This window comes from Homo sapiens, chromosome 3, assembly GCF_000001405.40.
Source record: "Homo sapiens chromosome 3, GRCh38.p14 Primary Assembly".
Classification (NCBI taxonomy): domain Eukaryota; kingdom Metazoa; phylum Chordata; class Mammalia; order Primates; family Hominidae; genus Homo; species Homo sapiens.
The window spans coordinates 43,898,792-43,919,865 of NC_000003.12; the positions used below are offsets into that span (position 1 = coordinate 43,898,792).

Below are 21,074 nucleotides of genomic sequence, written 5' to 3' on the forward strand. Positions count from 1 at the left end.
GAGGCAGGACTGCTAGGCACATTCTCATGGGCACTATAGGAAATGAGGTAGGAGAGGGAAGCAGGCATCAGAGTGCACTGGTGAGCAGGTGACCACTGCGGGCAGCCGAGGTGCAGTCCTGGTTACCTCTAGGAGACTAGCATCTTCCCCACTTGAAGGGCACAGAAGGTGAGAAATAAACTCCCAATCTCTGGAAACCACTGATTTGTTGGCCTTCCCTATTGCCGCTACAGTCTTAATTAGCACAGGGGTTCAATACCAAGCGTGAATGTGTTAGAGATACCTTTATTTATTTATTTATTTATTTATTTAAGACAGAGTTTCGCTCCTTGTTGCCCAGGCTAGAGTGCAGTGGCACAATCTTGGCTTACTGCAACCTCTGTCTCCCGGGTTCAAATGATTCTCCTGCCTCAGCCTCCTGAGTAGCTGGGATTGCAGGCGAGCGCCACCACGCCCTGCTAATTTTTGTGTTTTTAGTAGAAACGGGGTTTCACCATGTTGGCCAGGCTGGTCTTGAACTCCTGACCTCAGGTGATCCACCTGCCTCGGCCTCCCAAAGTGCTGGGATTACAGGGTTGAGCCACCATGCCCGGCCTAGAGATACCTTTTAAACTTCATTTTGGTAAGGCATTTCCACTTGCTCTTCCCAGGAACCTTTTTGCCAAAGCTGCTAACAAACTGAATGTATAACTGATCTAAATTATGTTTCTCCACACTCCTCTCCCACCTCCTGCTTCCCTACCTGCTACAGAATCAGAAATGTGTGTTAGCCCCCAAAGTGAGGAACACAGAGCAAGGGATTCTGTGTAAAACCATGCAGAAGAATCCATCCCCTCTCCTCTCCCCCTTCCCATAAGGACATACCACCAAGTCTCTGATTATAACCATTTCTCTTCTTTACAACTCTATATAAAAACTTATGCCCCTCCCCTCAAAAAAAAAAAAAAAAGGACTAGATGGAAATACACCAAAGCAATACCTGGCTTTAATAAGGTGGTTGAATTACAAATATTTTCCTTTTATTTCTTTTAATGATTTTCCATAATGAAATGTGATTTTTACCTTTTAAAATTAAATGTTTACATTAAACTATTTTTTTCTACTTTATGCTTAAAATTTTTCATAATAAAAATTATGTTTTAAAATTTCAGAGCAATTTTACCTCTTATCCTTCTGTATTATTTCAGCTCAGACTGCTTTAACGAAGTGCCGTAGATCAGACAGCTTTTAAACCACAGAAATTCCTTTCTTTTTTTTTTTTTTTTTTTTTTGAGGTCATTTCTCTGCCAAGTAAAGTCCAGACTAGGTATTCCTACTGGGTGGGCAGCTTCCCTCCACATGGTGACTGGGGATCCATGCTCCTGCTCCTTCCATCTTGAACTCTGAAAGTGGCACAAACACTTCCACTCATATTCTGTTGGCTGTAGTTGTCACATGGACATGGAGAACTGCAAGGGAACCTGGGGGAATGTGGTCCTGTGGTATTCCCAGGGAAAAGAGGATAGTTTTGATGACCAGCTAGTTAGTTTCTGCTACAGAAAGTGACATAATTAGAAGAATGTAAACTCAGACCAGATTTCATTTGCCAGCATACCCTTAGGAGAGACCCTTCCATCATCACCCCTTAGATTCAATGAACTGCTCAGCCAGGGAAAAACAAGGTTTGCCATCTGCCCCAAGATCACAAGTGAACTAACAATCACCAAGGATTTAGAGAAGATGATATGTTTGTGTTCTGGCATCAGGAAGAATGAGGGGGTGAAGGGAAGGCCAGAGAGCAGAGGATATTAAGGTAGCAAAGGTGGGAAGGTGTTATAGACTGAATGTTTGTGCCTTCCTTAAATTCATGTGTTGAAATCCTAACACCCAACATGATGGTATTAGGAGGTAGGGCCTTTGTTATGTGATTAGGTCTTGAGGATGAGGCCTTCATAAATGAGATTAGTGCCCTTATAAAAGAAACTTCAGAGAACTCCCTCACCCCTGTTGCCATATGAGGCTACAGCTAGAAGATGGCCACCTGGGGACCAGGAAGCAGGCCCTCACCGGACACCAAGTCTGCTGGCACCTTGATCTTGGACTTCCCAGCTTCCAGAGCTGTGAGAAATACATTTCTGGGCTGGGCGCAGTGGCTCACGCCTGTAATCCCAGCACTTTGGGAGGCCAAGGCGGGTGGATCACCAGGTCAGGAGATTGAGACCATCCTGGCTATATAGTGAAACCCTGTCTCTACTAAAAACACAAAAAATTAGCCAAGCGTCATGGTGGGTGCCTGTAATCCCAGCTACTCAGGAGGCTGACGCAGGAGAATGGCATGAACCTGGGAGGCAGAGCTTGCAGCGAGCCAAGATTGTGCCACTGCACTCCAGCCTGGGCAACAGAGTTCACTTGTGATCTTGGGGCAGATGGCAAACCTTGTTTTTTCCTGGCTGAGCAGTTCATTGAATCTAAGGGGTGATGATGGAAGGGTCTCTCCTAAGGGTATGCTGGCAAATGAAATCTGGTCTGAGTTTACATTCTTCTAATTATGTCACTTTCTGTAGCAGAAACTAACTAGCTGGTCATCAAAACTATCCTCTTTTCCCTGGGAATACCACAGGACCACATTCCCCCAGGTTCCCTTGCAGTTCACCATGTCCATGTGACAACTACAGCCAACAGAATATGAGTGGAAGTGTTTGTGCCACTTTCAGAGTTCAAGATGGAAGGAGCAGGAGCATGGATCCCCAGTCACCATGTGGAGGGAAGCTGCCCACCCAGTAGGAATACCTAGTCTGGACTTTACTTGGCAGAGAAATGACCTTCAATTGTATTGAGCCACAAAAATGCTGGGGCTTGTTTGTTACAGCAGTGAGCCTACACTAACCAATAATACACTGTTAATCTTTCATGTCTGCTAGACGTGCTTAGTAATGGTGCTCTGAATTCATGTAATTAGAAGTAAATTTGACTGCAGAGATCAAGGAAGCTCCCCTTTTTGGAGGACTTGCAACCTGAGCAATTTTGTAATCATACTACAATAGGGAGGTATTGCCCTTGATGTTTCCCATGAAATCTCATAGGATTTTCCAGATAACTGTATCTTTCCTCAATGGAAGCAGTTTTAGACAGGGAGCCTAGATTCTCTGCCCCTAATTATCAGCAGAATGATGCATGAATCACCCAACCCCTATAAGCCTCAGAAATTATACAATCATTTTAGAGATGGACAATACCAACGGTTGTAACAACTAACTGTGGCTGAGTTACAGGTAGGGTTAATCCATTAATAGACTAACTCATTTAATCTGCACAGGCACCAGTGATGTGGGTGATATTATCATTATTTTGAAAATAAGAGAAACTGAGGCACAGAGAGATTAAAACACTGCCCAAGGCCACAGCTAGTAAATATCATAATGAAATGTAATGGGCAATGTAACTCTAGGGTCAGAAAGTAAATTCTCTGGATTCTAAAATGCTGAGATTTGCACCAGGATGATTTTTTTCTGTGATCGTGATGTGCTTGGTGCTGGTTTTGTGATATATCTGAACTTGGCCATTTTCTCATGCCATCACTGTGTTCCCATCCTGCTCTTGACATCCAGCCTTCTCCCATTGATGGCTCTTGCTCTGGAAATATACAGCCTTGCAAGGGAAAAGATGATCTCCCTCTTCCTTGATCTACTTAATCTGATTAGACACAAATTGTAATATGCCTTGATTCAGAGAACTTCCTTTTGCCAAATGAAGTCCCCTGAGATCTCTCACACACAAAACTTGATTTATGAACAGAAGACTCTTTCAGTCCTCTGTGATTTTCTTTATTGAAACCATGCAATGCCAACTCTCAAGCAAAAAACAGCCAGTGGTGAAATCTTGGTTTCCTATGAATTCAGGGAATTCAGAGAACATCAAAGGTCATATGTTTCAAATACAGAGTAAATCACTTTGACTTTACTCACCGGAATAACAATTAGAAAATGACAACCGGATGAGCCCTGGGCTTTAATAGGACACCTGGCTTAGAATTGAAATACTAATCAAATTATTTGTTATGACTATTTTCAGTAATTTAGCATTTCACTTATAAAATGTCTCATCCACTCTGAATTTCTCCAATTGTAGTACATGGTGCATCATCCTGGACCATGATGAGGATAAAAATATCTACCACTTATTAAGCACTCACTATGTTCCCAACACTGTGCCAAACAAAGAAACTCTAATTACCTTTTCATCCCCATTCTGTAGATAAGGAAACTGATGTTTAGAGAGGTTAAGTTACCTATCCAAGGTGTGGTAGGCAAAATAATGGCTCCCCAAAATTGTCCATGTCCTAATCCCCAGAACCTGTGAATGTTACCCTGCAAAGCAAAAGGGGCATGGCAAATGTGATTAAGTTAAGAATCTTGAGATGGGAAGATTATCTGGATTATCTAGTAGAACCAATGTCATCACAAGGGTCTTTTTAAGAGAAGGAAGAAGGCAGGAGAGGCCTAGAAGATGTGACAATGGTCAGAATGATACAGTGCCACAAGTCAGGGAATACGGGCAGCTTTTCTGAAACTGGAAAAGGAAAGGAAATGGATTCTACCCTAGAGCCTCCAGAAGGAACACAGCCCTGTCAAACTACTTTAGATTATGACTTCTGAAACTGTAAGATGTTAAATTTGTGTTTTTAAGGCTATGAAATTTGTCATAATTTGTTACAGAAGCCATAGGAAACTGCTCCAAAAGGTCCCATGGATGTTGAGTGGTAAAGGCAGGATGTCAACTCTGCTCCCTGTAATGCAAATACCATACTCTTTATTTCTAGATTAAATAGCCTTGGAGTTTAAATATTTGACTTAAAAACTATGATTTATATATCATAGCAAACATATTATGAAGCAAAATATAAAACCTGAAATATGTTAAAAAGATATGAGATGTCAAAAAAATGAGATGTCAAAAAAAAAAACAAAAAACAAAGGGATGGAATAGAGGGCAGAGAACCAGGCTCTTCTCTACATGGTAAATTGGTATAATGATGAGGTATAATGATGAAGGTGGTACCACCAAAGCCATGGGGAAAGGATGGATTGCTTAGTTGATGGTGGTGGGAAATTGGATCACTATGTGTAAGAAAGTAAAACTGGAGCCCTGCCTTACACCCTCTGCAGGGAAACTCAGGGTTGATTAAAGTCCTAATTGTGAAAGGGAATACAATAGAAGAAAATATATGAGAATATCTTTGCAACCAGGAGATGGGCAGAAAAAGATAAAATCAAAAAGTTTAGTGGATTCAACTACATTATAAGTGAAAGGTTTTCCGTTCAATAGGCAGACATGATAAACAGGTGTCAGCCTGGGGAAAAATAGTTGGAATTATTTAAAAAGATAAGCCATTTTTATACTTTACAAAGAACTCTTGCAAATTAACAAGAAAAAGACAGAAATCCCAAATAGAAACTAGGCAAAAGGTATGTATAGTCAATTCACAAATGAGATTCTCAAACTCACTAATAACCAGATAAATACAATAAAAACAATGGACATAACATAGCTCACCCATAAGAAGAGAGGAAAAATCAAAAGATAATGAGTAATAAGGGTTGATAAGGTTGTGGGGAGATAGGTTTGCACACTACTGGTGAGAGGGGAATCTGGGACAGTCATTCAGGAAACCTATCTGGTATGTGCCCTGGGACCAATGACCCCCACCTCCTGGATAAACATCCTAAAGACCTGCTCACTCAGGTCTGTAAGGGGCATGTATAAAGGTGTTCACCTGTGTGTCATTTGGGTGGTAGAGCATTAGAGGCTGTCCAGGGGCCCATCCCTGGGGCAGTGAATCAGTGTGGATGGACCCACAACATGCTCTGCAGCAGTCAGCGCTACACTGGGGGCACAGTGATGTGGATACATCTTAAACAGGATGTTGAGTGAAAAAAGAAAGAAACTGAGCAAGGTCCCTTACCCAATGCCATATGCACAAGTTAAAACACAAAATGGCACTACATAGTCCACAAGGAAACATACATTTAAGGATTTTTATTGGACCCATTGCAGTGGGTGTCTGTGGGAAAGGAATAAAAGGGATCAGGAATAAAAAGGAAAATAAATAAAGTGAACCAGAGTGATGACTCCTACAGAGCAATAATGCTAATATGATACATAACCTAAGCTCCTTCTGTGCCTGAAATAATCGTTTAAAAAAGGGAGGACCCGTTTTTGCAAGAAGCCACACCAAACTACAGGAGCAGGTTCCTAAGGGTAGCTACTTTTCATTGTCGTGTTGGGTAGAAAATATGAAATGTGAATGTCATTTGATTCTCTAAAACACTTTGAGAGTCAGGAAGAATAAAACAGGGTGACTTGTGCCTGGAAAAGACCTCTTAAAGTAAATCCGCTTAAAATGAGGACCAAAATGTCATTTCAAGTAGTAAAAAAAAAAAAAAAAAAAAAAAGAATGGAGTATTCTTAAACTTGAAAAGTGAAACTAAAAACAAGATAGGTTTTATCTCATATTTTACAAAATTTAATTTTCAGTGTAGCTCTGGTCTGCTGTATTTCTAGTGCTCAGAGCCAAAAATTGTGCAATAAATATTTGTTAAGTGAATGAATGAACAATGATGGCCAGTTCTTAGAATCAAGAATGAATCAAGGGTTACTTTTGTCCCCATAACTTCCTATCCCATTTTTTTCAACTTTTAACTGGTTTAACTCCAGTTAATGCCACCACCCTCAGGTTAGTGACAAAAGGAGAAGGTGAGGTTAGCAGAGCCTGGGGACTGGTGTCACCTGGGAATGCTGAAACCACAGCAAGCCTGACCAATAGGACCTGAAGCTACGGAGGAGATGCATGGGCTGCTGAAGGCTCAGCTGAAGAATTTTAGTTTTTGCTAACTTTGCATGTAACTTTTGCAATTCTCCAACTTCACAATTATTATCTTTATGAAATCCTGCCTCTTTGCAGATATTGTGATTTCTCTTTACAAGAGGCACAGACAAGGGCATTTCAATGGGACCCAATTTTGTACATGATCATTCAGAGGTGACTATTTCATTATGTTTACTTCTGCTCACCATGGTCACCCTAATTCTCTGAGGACTCTAAGAATACTCAGATTGCAAAAATGCTCTTGACTACCTCCGCTTTGCAGATAAGAAAACTGAGGCTCACAGAAGTTACATGGCTTGCCCAAAGTCCCATTGCTTGAAAGTGCCAAACTACAGAAAGCACAATGGAAGGAAGATCAGGAGAGACGTGCCATATCCAAAGCCCTGCAAAGGGTATGAAGGGATGGGTAAAGCTGGCAAGCAAGTGCTTTCTGTGTGCTCACTCTATTATTAATAAGTTTGTGATAATATAATAGTAGTTATGGCAAGTAAAATGTAGCTTCTTAGTCACATGCTGAGCCATCCTTTCTCTTGGGCCCTTTATCCTATAGGTAGCAAAGAAACCTAACCGTGTCAATAGGTGATATTTCAGTCCCTCTGAGTCTAAGCAGCCTCCTTTGAGTTTCCACTGCTCCTCCCTTCTCCGCTCCAAGACGGCTATTGGATGCATGAGGAGTTTACTGTGTGCAGGTGGCAGAGGGGGAGGGAGAGGGGGACCTGCCTCTGTAGACCTGGCATCCCCTGTCCACCTGGCCACTGCCTACCCTGCTGGCATCAGCCAAGGCTGTGGCTGCTGAGGCTTGGGATCTACACTCTCTTGGTTTATTCCAAGGGCCTGGTGATTCTCCTGCTGCTTTGCCAGGGCTGCAGCCCGGGGCTCAGTTCCCAGCCCCAGTGTCCAGACTTCTAGCCCCCATGGTGGTGATCCCTTCTAGCCAAACCTCAGCCCTCTAGGGCATGTAACACCACAAGGGCTCTGAGAATCTAGGAGTTCTCTGAAAAGACCACATGGCACTATTGCCTTCCTCAGTGGTATGTTCCACATGGGTGCCGGGTAAGAAACATTCTCCTAGATTCCTGCTGGAGCCAATATTCAACCAGAAAACAGAAACTCCTTGGCGATCTAAAACAGAGGGGTTCTAGTACTGGTCAGTGGTGACACAGATGATGGAAGAGCCAAGAGGCTGAGCAGGGTGGGGTAAGACGCCCAGGATTAACAGTGGCTGCCACGACCCTCAGGCTAGAGTGACAAAAGGAGAAAGGTTAGCAGAGCCTGGGGACTGGTGTCACCTGGGAATGCTGAAACCACAGCAGACCTGACCAATAGGACCTGAAACCACGGAGGAGATGCATTGGCTGCTGAAGGCCCAGCTGAAGCAGAGAGGCAAAGGGAAATACCCCGGCCTGTCCCTTCCTCTGGCAGCCAGCCTTCCCTCAGGGCCTCCCATGAGCAGAACCTAGCTGACACGGGAGACTGGGAAACGCTGCTGGCAGCAGATGCCCAGATCCAGAGCTGGGCAAGGCAGGGGAGGGATGAGTCTGAGGGCAATGGGCCCAGGGCAAGCACAGCCCCCAGAGGGAAACAAAAGCCCTCCTCTTGTTCTGCCTGCATAACGCACCATCTTCCCACCAAGGCTTTTGCCTAGAGAAAAGAGAACAGGACCTCTGTACTTCCCCATCTGCTCCCCGCTCTGCCTCCTGCTTCCTGTAATCCACAGGGAGCTTCCCACTCCTCTGTGTCATACTCTGTGCCTAATACAACCTTAGGGGACTTATCTCCCAAGTTGTACTCTTGAGTGGCCTAAAAGGAGTTAAAAGGTATTTTTTATCCCTAATGCCCAGGTTTTCAGACAATTGTCTTAATATGAACAAGCTGGCTTTAAGTCTCAAGTTGATCAATGACATCTTTTTCTCCTTCCTTGGGGTAATAAACCTCTTGGTTCACTTCAGCCTTAGCAGTGGAAGGCTCCAAAGGACATGATAAAGGAGGAAGTGAAAGTACATCAGCTAATAGCCCCAGAAATAGTAAACCCCTTACACTCCCACTTATGAAACGGTTCCTGTGTGACAGCAACTGTGCCAGGAGCCAGGATTGCTGTCACTCAACCAACTCTATCATGGGGTTTCTAGCTTTGGTTCCATTTTATAGATTTGGTGCTATTGAGGCTCAGAAGGATGAATTGCCCATCCAGAATCTTAAGAAATAGAATGAGATTTGAATCCAGATCAATTTTGAATCTTCATTTCCAGCTGCTGCTTCTTCTCCCTCCTCCCCTGGTTTCCCAGTTCTTAATTCTTGTTCACAATCTCATTCCTACCCTCTTCCCTCTACCATTCCCTCTTTAGGCTTTTGGAAACTTTGATTCAAGAAATAGAGCGGTTGGTAATAATCTCTGATGATCAGTCCGAGCTTGGCATTTTCATTTGTAAGTATAAACATTATTATTACAAAGTCTTTATTAAGCATCAGTCTGCACGTGTGTCTTCACCTGGGTCCTCCCCACCCCAAAAGCAGACCCTGAGAGGGGGACTTGGGTGCAGGTGGGTTTACCTGGGAGGTGATTCCAGGGAGCCATAGTGAGGAAGAGTGAGAAGGGAGGGAGGGAAAGCCACTGGAAAATTGCCATATTGAGGTCATCACTAACAGCAGCTTGGGATAGACCTCTTGGGAGCGTAGAGGATGCTCCCAAGGCCAGAAGCTTCTCCCATAGCCGGAAGCATTCATCCACCAGCTCCCACCCCCCATGGATTGAAACTCTCCTACACCTCCAGGCTGAGCATCTATGGTGGGTGCCGTAGATAACCCCAGACTCACCAGCAGAGATGAAGGCTTATTTCCACAGCTGCCCTTCCAGGGGTGCTGCCTGAGAATGCCCCGAGACGCCAGCCCTCCCGGAGATGCCTCTAGTGATGAACACTGCCTCATCCAAGGCCATGCTTCCTTCCAGGGGGAAGCCCACACGCTGCTCAACACTGGCAATATAGAAGCCTAGCCTGTCACTCTAAGTTGGGCAACTGCAGGGCCTTCCCAGCTCCAGAGCTCCTAAGGGGTCAGCACAGGCCTTTATGGGACTGCATCACAGCTCAATTTCTTCCTCTGCCCACACCTGCCTCCATAACCGCCTTCCTCAGGGTTGACACCCAGAGCACTTCCTAATAAGCACCCTGCATGCTACTCTGCTTCCCAGAGAACCACACCAGCCACAGGTGTGGGGGCCACATACCTACCCTTGAGCTAGGGGAAGCCCTGGAGAAGGAAGCAGAGAACATGTGGCTGGCAGAGAGAGGCCAGGAGCACCAAGTGGCGTGAGGACTCAAGGCTCACCCAGGACTGTCCACCATACCTGTGTCTGCACTCAGGGCTGGGAGGGTGTAGGGCAGTAGCCAAGAGGCAAATGATACAGCTTGAATCAGAGCTGATTCCAAAACCACTAAACAAATCTAGATCTAACCCTATTGAAGCTAAATAGTAATAATTATACACTGTCATTATTTTTTAGCACCTCAATGTGCCCAGGTGAAATGATGTTAATGGGAAGGAAAAGGGGAAAATTATGATTTCAAGAACAGTCATGATGAGAACAGACATATGCCAGCGAACAAAATCCTGTGCCTTTTGTGAGCCTGACAGCTGCCTTCAGTCCTGCTGGTCTGACCCCTGTAGTGACATCAGGAAGAGTCCAGAAAGCATCAGCATTCCACTCCCACTTTCCCAGTGCAGCCAGGAAAAGGCCTAGTCACCAAGGAGGGCCTGCTTCCAGTTCTGTTTTTCCCAAGTCACTCACTGACAGGAGCTGAGGCCCATAATCAGAGGAAGCAAAAACGCTTCTCCCCTTATTGCCAAGGGAATCGCCAGGGGATGCAGAGTGGCTCCAGGAGGAAAATTATGCTGAGCTGAGGCTTAGCCATGGAGGAAGGCCCAAGGGCATCATCTATGAACGTGTACGGGGTCACCTAGGCTTTTACATGTGTACGATGCTCGGTGTTTTGTTGTTGGGGGATTTTATAATTACCCAAATTACCTTGCTTCAACCTATTTAGCAATTCATTTAAAGGAACTCTCCTAATACGTGAAAGACCAGAAAAGACAGCTGATTAGAAATTCCAATGGCCGGGTATGGTGGCTCACACCTGTAATCCCAGCACATTGGGAGGCCAAGGAGGGAGAATCACTTGAGGTCTGGAGTTCAAGTCCAGCCTGGCCAACATGGTGAAACCCTGTCTCTACTAAAAATACAAAAACATTAACTGGGGGTGTTGGTGCATGCCTGTAGGCCCAGCTACTTGGGAGGCGGAGGTGGGAGAATTTCTTGAACCTGGAAAGCAGAGGCTGTAGTGAGCTGAGATGGCACCACTGCACTCCAGCCTTCCAGCCTGGGTGACAGAGCAAGACTCCATCTCAAAAAAAAAAAAAAAAAAAGAAAGAAAAGAAAAGAAAGAGAGAGAAAAGAAAAATCTAATAGGGGACACAGGAATTTTCTTTTATTTGCCTAAGAACAAAAGACAAGGAAACATTATAATAATCAAAATAATCCCAGAAAAGGTAGTGGAAAAATGGACTGGACCAAGATGATATTGAAGGACCTTCCCAATAACTGAACTGCATTCAAGGTACTTAGTCTCTTGAATGTGAGCCAGTGGCCCCTCCATGGTAAATATAAAGTTTGGGGGTCTGTGAATCCACAGATGCTCCAGATTACATATGGGGAAAGAGAGAGTCGCTTAGTAAGGCAACAAAGGTGAATAATTGTTCAAAATATCTAGTGGCATCTTCAGTCATGGTCGTTTGGCATGGAGGCAAGCGGAGTGGGATTTTCAATCTCTTTCCTCTCTTCTAAATGGAAATTAAGCTAACAGTATTCAAGGGAAGAAATGTTCACAGACTCTGAGGACCTAACGTGGCAAAAGTTAGACTCAGAATTTCCCACAGCCAAGTTTGTGGTAGTGGAAGCTTCTGGTAAAGTAGGCCTTGGGTTTTACAAAGTCAGGTACCCCTTACTAGAGGAAAGCAACATTGGGAATTATCCAGATCATCCAGAAGACAAAGGCAAAACTATGTGGTTGTCACATCACTGCTGATGACCTTTAATGAATTCTCCAATTTACCTACCTGGGAGAGGCTTTGCATGGATTAGTCAAGCCACACAATCACTACCTAACCCTCCCTGATGGAAGGAACTGAGCCTCCCTTTAAATGAGTGTGAATTTCTGAAGGGCAAGGCCTGGGTCACTTGCCTTCAGCACACGGCCCATGCTCAGAGTCTGTTAGCTGAAAGGAAAAAGGGAAGTGGAGGCTGCCAGGAATACTCAACCTCCCCCACTCTTCCTCTTGCCACCTTACTTTCATCTTGCTCCCTACTCACAGATGACTCCGGGGCCTTGTTCCTCAAAACCATATTACCTACCATTGGGATTTGGTTTGTGTCACAATTTTTCAGATAATCATATCCAAGAGACCTCCAAAGTAAAAGGTTAGTGGCAAACACAGATGTGGAATAAATTGTACCCGTATTCCAACAGAAGAAATCCAAATCCTAAGCAATTTGAATACAAATTCAGGAGGCGAAGCGAGGGACTGTGGAGCAGAGGGGTATCCATAATGCTGGTTTTGTAAAATTTAATAAAACGTATAATTGACCTTCATTAGATTTATTCACATTACAAAAAGAAAGCATTTGCTAATGAGAAAAAGCTTTATTCCCCAAATTTCAGATCATGAATTCATTTTCCCTCTTCCTTGCTGGTTTGGCACATTTTTAAATGGCTTGGTTAAAACACTTATTAATCCTATATTAAATATCCATGACGATTAATCTCCTAAGAGCCAAGAAAAGTTGCTCCTGCTTTCTACCTCATTTTCTCCCTGACCAAAGAGTTATTTTCTCTCCCCAATGCTGCTTGTGAGCTGTATTAAAGCAGAAGAAATATACTCTAGATTAAAGGGACAAAAATAAATAAAAATAAAATGGAGACAGTGAAAACATTTGTTAACTGGGCCACAGGCATTTTTAGGTTTCCTCCTGTGGACTTCCCATTAAGGATTATATTTAAATATGAAAAAAACAAGTTTTATTATTAGCTGTGTAACTCATCTGTAAAATATGAAAAATAATTGTAGCTCATAAATTGTTTTGAGATTTAAATTAGTTAACCTATGTAAAGTGTATATGATAGTGCGGAGCTCCAAAGCCTGGTTCCCCATCAGCTGTTATCATTAATTCTCCCCACTAAGTTCTCATGAGGCACTTAAGCTACTATTTTGGCACTCCTTCAAATAACATTTTAAAAAAATATCTATTCAACATTCAGTTTGTAGAGGCTGTGATAAACTAATTTTCTATTAATAAACACATATTTTTCTATGTTTAAAATTAAAGTAACTATTCACATTGGTTATATGCAATTTTCTGGACCAGAAAAATTGGGCAGCATTAGGCTTGATTTAAATATTTAGATAATAAACCATTCCTGCCACTATACATTTTTCTGTTTCAAAATTTCAGCAACAATAGCTGCTAAACTCACCCAGAGCAGCTGGCTAGACTTGTAGTCGGTGGTCCTGCCGCTAACATTCCACCTCTCACAAGTAAATGACAAAAACGCACAACAGAGTGCAGCCAGTCTTGGCAGTATATTTCTTCTCAAGCTCCTGCCTTCCTTGGCAGGAATGGGGCCAACTACTTTTTGTCAATTGTAACAAACCTCAATAGAGTTGAGGGAGGGAGGGTACTTTATTTCGGCTTGAGAACAATCTTCCTCCCCAACTCCCCAACTCCCGCCCCAAAGTAAGCCCAATTTACATTTTACCAGTCACACCAGATGTCATGTTTGGAAACCTGGGTTAAGGGGCAGCACGTTTTCTGAGATATGTTTAAGTGTTCCTTCCTCTCTGGACATCTAAGCAGTTGCCCTGGTGGCCCACTCTTTAACTTAGCTTTCTGTGACCCCCAAACCAACTCCAACCTGATTAACACTCTTTTCAAATTCTCCATTTGATTGAGCCTTATTCTTTTTGCAGAACCTTCATGTTATTTCACACAGGGCCAAAGCCACCAGTAGAAAGCAAAGAGAGGAAGGCAGAGGCTGATAGGGTCAGAACGCAAGAGCGCAGGATTTCTGGATGCAGATTTCACTCTGAGCTGGAAATGATTTGCCCTTTGGGTTCCAGTAAAATCTGTGCCATTTATCCGCCAACCTCTCAGAGGTTGCAAACTAGAGCATCTCCCTGCGGGTAGTCACCTTGACCGTGAAATGGGCAATTTCTATCCTTGTCTTATTTCGTCCTCATAGCCGCTTTGTTTCAGTTGCACCCTCCACTGAAAGAAACCCAGGTAGAGTGATTTTACCAAAATAAGGGTTTTCTTTTCCTCATGTGATGAAAAATTCTAGACATGTAGCAGCCCAGGGCTGGTACAGCTGCTTAGGAATCATCAGGAACCCAAGACTGTAAACCACCATCCCTGAGCAGGTGGTTCCCAACCTCCTTGTTGAAAGATGAATGCCCTCCCCCAAAACAGCATTTGTGTTCCAGGCGAGAAGAAAGAGAAGGGCAGAGAGTAAAAGGCCTGCGCCAGTTGGGTCTGTCTCTATTTATAAGAAGCCACACCAGCAAGCTTGTGGTCATATCCCATTGGCAGGGGCTGATCATGCGATCACCGCTGGCAACAAAGGAGGCTGGGGAGTGGAGCATCTTAACTGGAACCACTGCCTTTCCAAACAAGGTCGGGGTCTTGTGGGTAAGAAAGGAGGAAGAATGGATGTAGAGGGGGAGCAGTGTCTACCATGGTACTATTATTCCTCTTTTACTGATGAGGAAACAGATTTGAAAGAGTTTCAAGACTTCTTCCAGGCATGCAGCTTGTCAGTGGCGGAGCCAGACTTCCCATTCTGGAGCTCTGTCCATACACAGTGTAGTATGGGGTGATGCAGTGAATAGGAGAAAAAATATAACCTTTGTGTTTCTCCTTCACCATGATATAGACACAGCCTAAAAGCGAATGAGAGGAAAGACTGACCTTGTATGGCCCTGAGTAACCTCTTACAGTTATTTGCCAGTGAAGTGGGATATATTTCTGCTTTCAGCTGTTTTACCAATGGAAAAAATTTCAAGTGACTTACTCCAGCTATTAGTCAGTGGTGGCCCCAGAAGCAGCACCAGACTTTTGATGAGTTGAAGAGAGACAGGCACTTCTTGGAGACATGACCCTGCTCCATGAAAGATACTGATACTTTTTGGCTCTGTGTTCCCACCCAAATCTCATGCCAAATTGTAATTCCCAATGTTCGGGGAGGGACCTGGTGGGAGGTGATTGGCTCATGGGGGTAGATTTCCTCCTTGCTATTCTCATGATAGTGAGTGAGTTCTCACATATCTGGTTGTTTAAAAGTGTGTAGCTCTTCCCCCTTCACTCTCTCTGTCTCTTGCCACCATGTGAAGATGTGCTTGCTTCCCCTTCACCCCTCAGCCGTGACTGCAAGTTTCCTGAGGCGTTCCCAGCCTTGCCTCCTGTACAGCCTGCAGAACTGTGCATGAGTTAAACCACTTTTCTTCCATAAATTACCCAGTCTCAGGTACTTCTTTCTAGCAGTGTGAGAATGGACTAATACAGATACCCTAGAAAAACCAAAGAAGAAGAAAGCCTCTGGAGTCAATAAATATCTCCATTATTTTTATTAAATGAGATTGACACAAGAATTGAAAATTACTTCCAGGGGCAGCTGGATTTAGGTCTATGACCTTCAAAGAGGTAGGAGGTGCCCTGGCAGAATAGGCTAGAGAGCTATTTGGTTCCTTCTTCAGCAGCTCTAGGATGCCACAAATATCTGTCTGCTTTCACAGCCACATGAGCTGCACAGTGACTAAATCAGCCCCAGCACAAACCTCAGCCCTGAATTTTCTTCCTTTTTTTTTCTTTTTGAGAAAGGGTCTCACTCCATCGCCCAGGCTGGAGTACAATGGTGCAATCACGGCTCACTGCAACCTCAAACTCCTGGGTTCAAGTGATCCTCTAGCCTTAGCATCCCAAATACCTGGGACTTCAGGCATGCAACACCACACCCAGCAATTTTTTTTTAAATAGTAGATTCAGAGTCTCACTATATTTCCCAAGCTGATCTCAAACTCCTGGCCTCAAGTGATCCTCCTGCCTTGGCCTCCCAAAGTGCTGTAATTACAGGCCTGAGCCACCACACCCAGCCAGCCCTGAATTTCTAATTTGGTTCTGTCTTCTGATCCAGATTTACTCTCCTTCTTGGCCATCTAGGCTCACCAGTTCATTGCAAAGTCTCCCGTTCGTTTTGTACTGTATATATGGGTAGCCCAGTTCTGGTCAGCAGAGTCACACATTCCAAACACAGCTCTACAGAGGTTATCAGCTCATAAAAGTAGATCCATGGCCAAAACTACTGCACTACTCTGATGTAGCTACTCCCATTACATAGCTCTTGTCCATGAGTGTCCCAGCTACCTTCAAGCCCTTGCCTAGGTGAGGCCCTCTGCTAAACCTGACTGTTCTTCTTACCACAGTCTCCACCAGATGAATCCCTTCTCATCCTTCAGTCTCCACTTAGCTATCTCTGGCTGTCTAGAAGGGGGTTGGGATCCCCTCCAAAGGACTCTCATAGTGCCCAGTTCTGTCCAAAGTCAGAGCCAGCCACACTGTGATTAGTGGATTTCTAGTATAATCATGTCATTTTTCATCCAAACTAGAACCCTAGAAAGAAATGTGCTATTTTTCATCCAAACTGGAACACATGGACAATGAGCATAAGCAAAAACATGTGCTCAACCCCACTGTTATCAGAGATGTTAAAATATGAAGAAGAAAGGATGTATCTTAGAATCAGTAAAATATGGCATTTAACTTTTCAATATTCTGTTTGGACAAGTGAAACCATGCTTTTACATGGCCTTTGCAAGTATTCTGTTGTTATTGTTTGTTTATTTTGTTTTTTGTTAAATGACAGGACCTAGAATCAGTGAGATTTGGAGAAGCAACCACTTTGGTGCACTGCCTTGTAGGAGTAGAAATTGGTTCAGTGCATCTGGATGATATTGGACACTGTGCATCAAAAGCCTTAAAGTCATTCATGTCCTTTGACTCACTTTGACTCAACAATTCTCTCTGGACTATTCCACAATCCTATGGAAATAATCAAAGTCCTGCAAAAATAATTCTTCATGTTCATCATAGCATTAGTAGAAAACCAGGAAGTACTTTAAATATTCAACCTATAAAGCCGATTACATTACTCTCTCTCTCTTTTTTTTTTTCCAGACAGAGTCTTGCTCCGTTGCCCAGGCTAGAGTGCAGTGGTACGATCTTGGCTCAGTGCAACCTCTCAAGTTTAAGTGATTCTCAAGCCTCAGCCTCCTGCTAGCTGGGACTACAGGCATGCACCAGCATGCCTGGCTAATTTTTGTATTTTTAGTAGAGATGGGGTTTTGCCATGTTGGCCAGGCTGCTCTTGAACTCCTGACCTCAACTGATCCTCCAGCCTCAGCCTCCCAAAGTGCTGACATTACAAGCATAAGCCACTGTGCTCGGCCCAGTGCAACTCTTTTGATACAAGGAACTATTCAAAAATTATGTCATGAAAGTTGGTTTAATGGCATGTTGTCAAGTAGGAAAAGATTTTAAAAATAATTTATACATAATTCACTTTGATTTTTAAACTGTAAAAGTAAAACTATAGATTTTTTTCTCTATATGTCAGAAAAGACTAGAGGGATATATACACCAAAATGTTTATAATAATTTTTTCCTTTATGCTTTTCAACATTTCCCAGTGGTAAACATAAATAACTTAAAATGACAAAACAACTCTAATATGTACTTTTAAGTTAAAAAAAAAAACATTTTGGATGGTGTTTCTGTGTTTCTATAATTCATCTGACTCTCAGAAAAGAGAGGTATTTTTGAAACAATCCCTTATAGGCTGGGCACTGATGTGGGGTAACAAAGCCTATAGTGTCTTGTCTTGCCAAATATTCTCTTTCTGTCATACAAAGAGCCAATGTTTTATATAAGATCATATTTTTATAGTTTTCTAAAGAAATTTTTAAGAGAAAGAATATGTTTTCATTTTGTCTTTTTTTAATGGAGCTGTACAAAATTGGCTTCAGAGCCACCTTTCATAAACATGTAGTGTTATGGGCCGAATATTTGCGTGTACCCAAACTTCCTGTGTTGAAATCCTAACCCCAAAGTTGATGGTATTAGGAGACAGGGCCTTTGGGAGGTAATTAGTCATAAGGGTGGAGCCCTCCTGAATGGGATTAGTGCCCTTATGAAAAAGACCCGGAAGAGCTCTCACACTTCTTTCCACCATGTGAAGATACAAGAAGTCGCAGTCTGCAACCCAGAAGAAGGCCTTCACCAGAACTGGCCATGCTGGCATCCTGATCTCAGATTCCAGCCTCCAGGACTGTGAGAAATAAATTCCTGTTGTTTATAAACCACTCAGCTTTAGTATTCTATTATAGCAGCCCAATTGACTAAGGCACACAGAAAACTTGTATGTGTCTTCCAGCAGAAAAGCTGAGTCCCTCCAGGCCTTAGGGCCTAAGATTCCAACTGCCCTGAAGGATGATGCTGTCATATCATGGTTAGTTGCAGCAATGAGAGGAGCTTTTCCAGTGCAGACCCCAATGCCTTAGCATCAAGCTTCCTGGACATCAGAGGATCTGTGCTAAGCAACAGATCAAAATTTAGGATGGGTGTTTCCCTGTGCAGGTTATTTCTGTTGTCTTTCACCCCCACCCTTCTATATGCTGTTCTGTAAGTTCAGGGCTGGAAGACCGTAAACTATATTCCCAGAATCCCTGCTGGCAGGCTGTCTGTTAGGCTCGGCCAATGGAGACATTGGCTGAAGATCAATGGGAGGAGAAGAGAAGCCATCTGCTTCTGGCTCCCATATTGTGACAGTAGCTGGTGGTGCTATGGTGGCAGTAGGATTCCAGATTCAGCAGTGGAGTCAAGGCAGCCCTTTTCCACAGTTCCAGGCTTGGTCTAAGAATAATCTTCTGCGTCAGCATCTTCCCAGCACAGTGGCAGGTGTGGGCTCATGGGCAGAGCCCATACTGATCTTTGGGTAGCACTCCTTCTCCTTATTGCTCTTCCAGCCCTTCCAGGGCCGTTGTATTCAATTTTCTGTACTAAATTCTCTCTGTTTAATATACCTAGATGGTTTTCTATTTTCCTGATTGGACCATGAGTGATATACCGTTAATAGCTTGGATGACCAAATTCAAGGTATTTATATTTTAACATTCTGGAAATTGATACTTTACCTCCAATACCCTTCCAAGAAATTGGAAACCCCAGTTGGAGAATCTTCAACCTCCTCCATGTTTCAAATGCTCGTTGCCTTTGGGATGGGAGCAAAGTAATGCCATGGCAACTGCTGGGTGCATAAGGGCCTGGGGGCCATAAAGGGTCTGAGTGGTTGTGTCCAGGTTATAGTCATCCATAGTGAGGATTCCCCCTCCCCATACCCGAGACCCAGAAAAAGGACTGGACAGAAGAAACACCATTGATAACCAATAGAAATATGCCTGAGCGATAGCTGGCAGCTGCCACTGGAACTTTCTTTGTATTGGGCTTGGGAGAATGGCATATGCTGGAGGAGGGGGAGAGGAAGGGCTTACAGAGAAAAACATAGAAACTGAGAGGGTTTGAGTAGTTCGGGGGAACAGCTACATGGAATACTCTGAAAGCCTGGTCCCCCTAACAAGGAAAGTTAGCTAAACAAATCCTCTGTGTATGTATGATTTGGGGTCTCAGAGTGGAATTCTTTCTAAAGGCATTGTTTAAAATACCATCAAAGGCCATTTTGTATCTAGGATACAGAAAACTAGCAAAGTAGTATTTAAAAGGGATAAATACCCATTTCACACACACACACACACACACACACACACACACACACACACACACACACACACTCCACTGGCTTCTGCTGGACTCTATCCTCCCTTCTCTCAGATTAACAGAAGAAACCCCAAGCTGGAGAGACCGGCCCATTCCCTTCGTTTTTCCTCCTGCCCAGAAGACAGTGTGGGGCTCCCCCAGTATGTGGGGCAGAAAAGAGGAGACTGGGAAAAGAGTTATGATCCAATATTGGGATAACTGAGGGCCAGTTTCAGGTCCCAGTCACTTCTATAACCCAGCAGAATAGCATGTAGTCAGCACCCAATAAATGTTTATTGAATCAAATTTGGTCTGTGCTTCTGTGCATCTTCTCTGCAAGTCTACCAACTGGAAAGCACTTTGCAATTTTGTTTCTGAGCCAATATACACACCATCATTTCTTTTAGCAACCTTCTGGGACTTGGATTAGCTTTGAAAAATCCACTAGCATTAGGAAGTCCTATGAAAGGGTGTGAGGATAAAGAAAGACAGTGATCGATATATTTTTGCTGACTGATGTGCAGCTCGAATGTTGATGAACAGTACCAAGTGGGCAGGTCTCATCAGACATACAACGGCAACGAAGTGGCTCACTTCTTGGGCGAGACTAACTTGAAATTGCTCTAGAAGAAAGAGGGTAGGAGATGAGCTTCCCCTTCCGAGAAGTAAATTGGCAGGGCTGACTAATTAAAGTTAAAAGCAAATGTCTGAGTCACACTTCCTGGCTTTCTGGCTCCCTCCTTTTGGTCTCCCACTTATTTCTGAAACATGTGCTACTCCACTGGAAAACACTGCGGATAACACATTTGACACTAATGTAGACACTAATGATTTTAAGTTTCTCCAACCAAATCTGAGGATTTGTCTGTGATACAAATAAATATGTGCTTTGGGCTGTGATTTTGGATTTCCACACATTTGTTTTCTCCTTTTTTCTCTAAAGCACAAAGGTTTTCATAAATGCAGGGTGTGTGTATTGGGAGAGAGGACAATGTGGGAACTTACTGAGCCCTGAGTTATTAACATCCTGTGGGAATATGAATGTCACTGTCACTTTCCTCACAGGTAAATGGAATGGAAACTTTCAATTCTTGGTCTCACAGCACACATTTCAGAAGGAGCCTCCTTATGGTTTTGTAATTGATTTTCAAATTGTTTTTTAAGTAAAATAATGCTCCAAGTCTGGCAGTAAAAATCATCGGTTTTTTCCCTCCACATTCCCAACCCCCATGTCCACTCCCCAGAGACAAACACTTAGTTCAGTGTTTATCCTGAGTACTCACCCTGTTATTTCTAACT

At 43.4% G+C, this 21,074-nt stretch overlaps 1 long non-coding RNA gene across 1 annotated transcript in view, besides 1 other annotated feature; it reads right to left on the reverse strand.

The window, feature by feature from the left end:
• Positions 1-13,462, reverse strand: part of LOC107986081 (uncharacterized) — a 68,253-nt gene extending 54,791 nt beyond the window's left edge. Inside the window, exon 1 of the long non-coding RNA XR_001740673.1 lies at positions 13,390-13,462. This is a non-coding gene — a long non-coding RNA (uncharacterized LOC107986081). The remainder of the gene's footprint in view (positions 1-13,389) is intronic.
• Positions 8,965-9,014: a silencer, noted in NCBI's record as "silent region_14259". NCBI's record gives its function as "represses an Ori minimal core promoter by ATAC-STARR-seq in GM12878 lymphoblastoid cells {active_cell/tissue: GM12878}" and the evidence as "EXISTENCE:reporter gene assay evidence [ECO:0000049][PMID:35858748]".
• Positions 13,463-21,074: the final 7,612 nt, after the last annotated feature.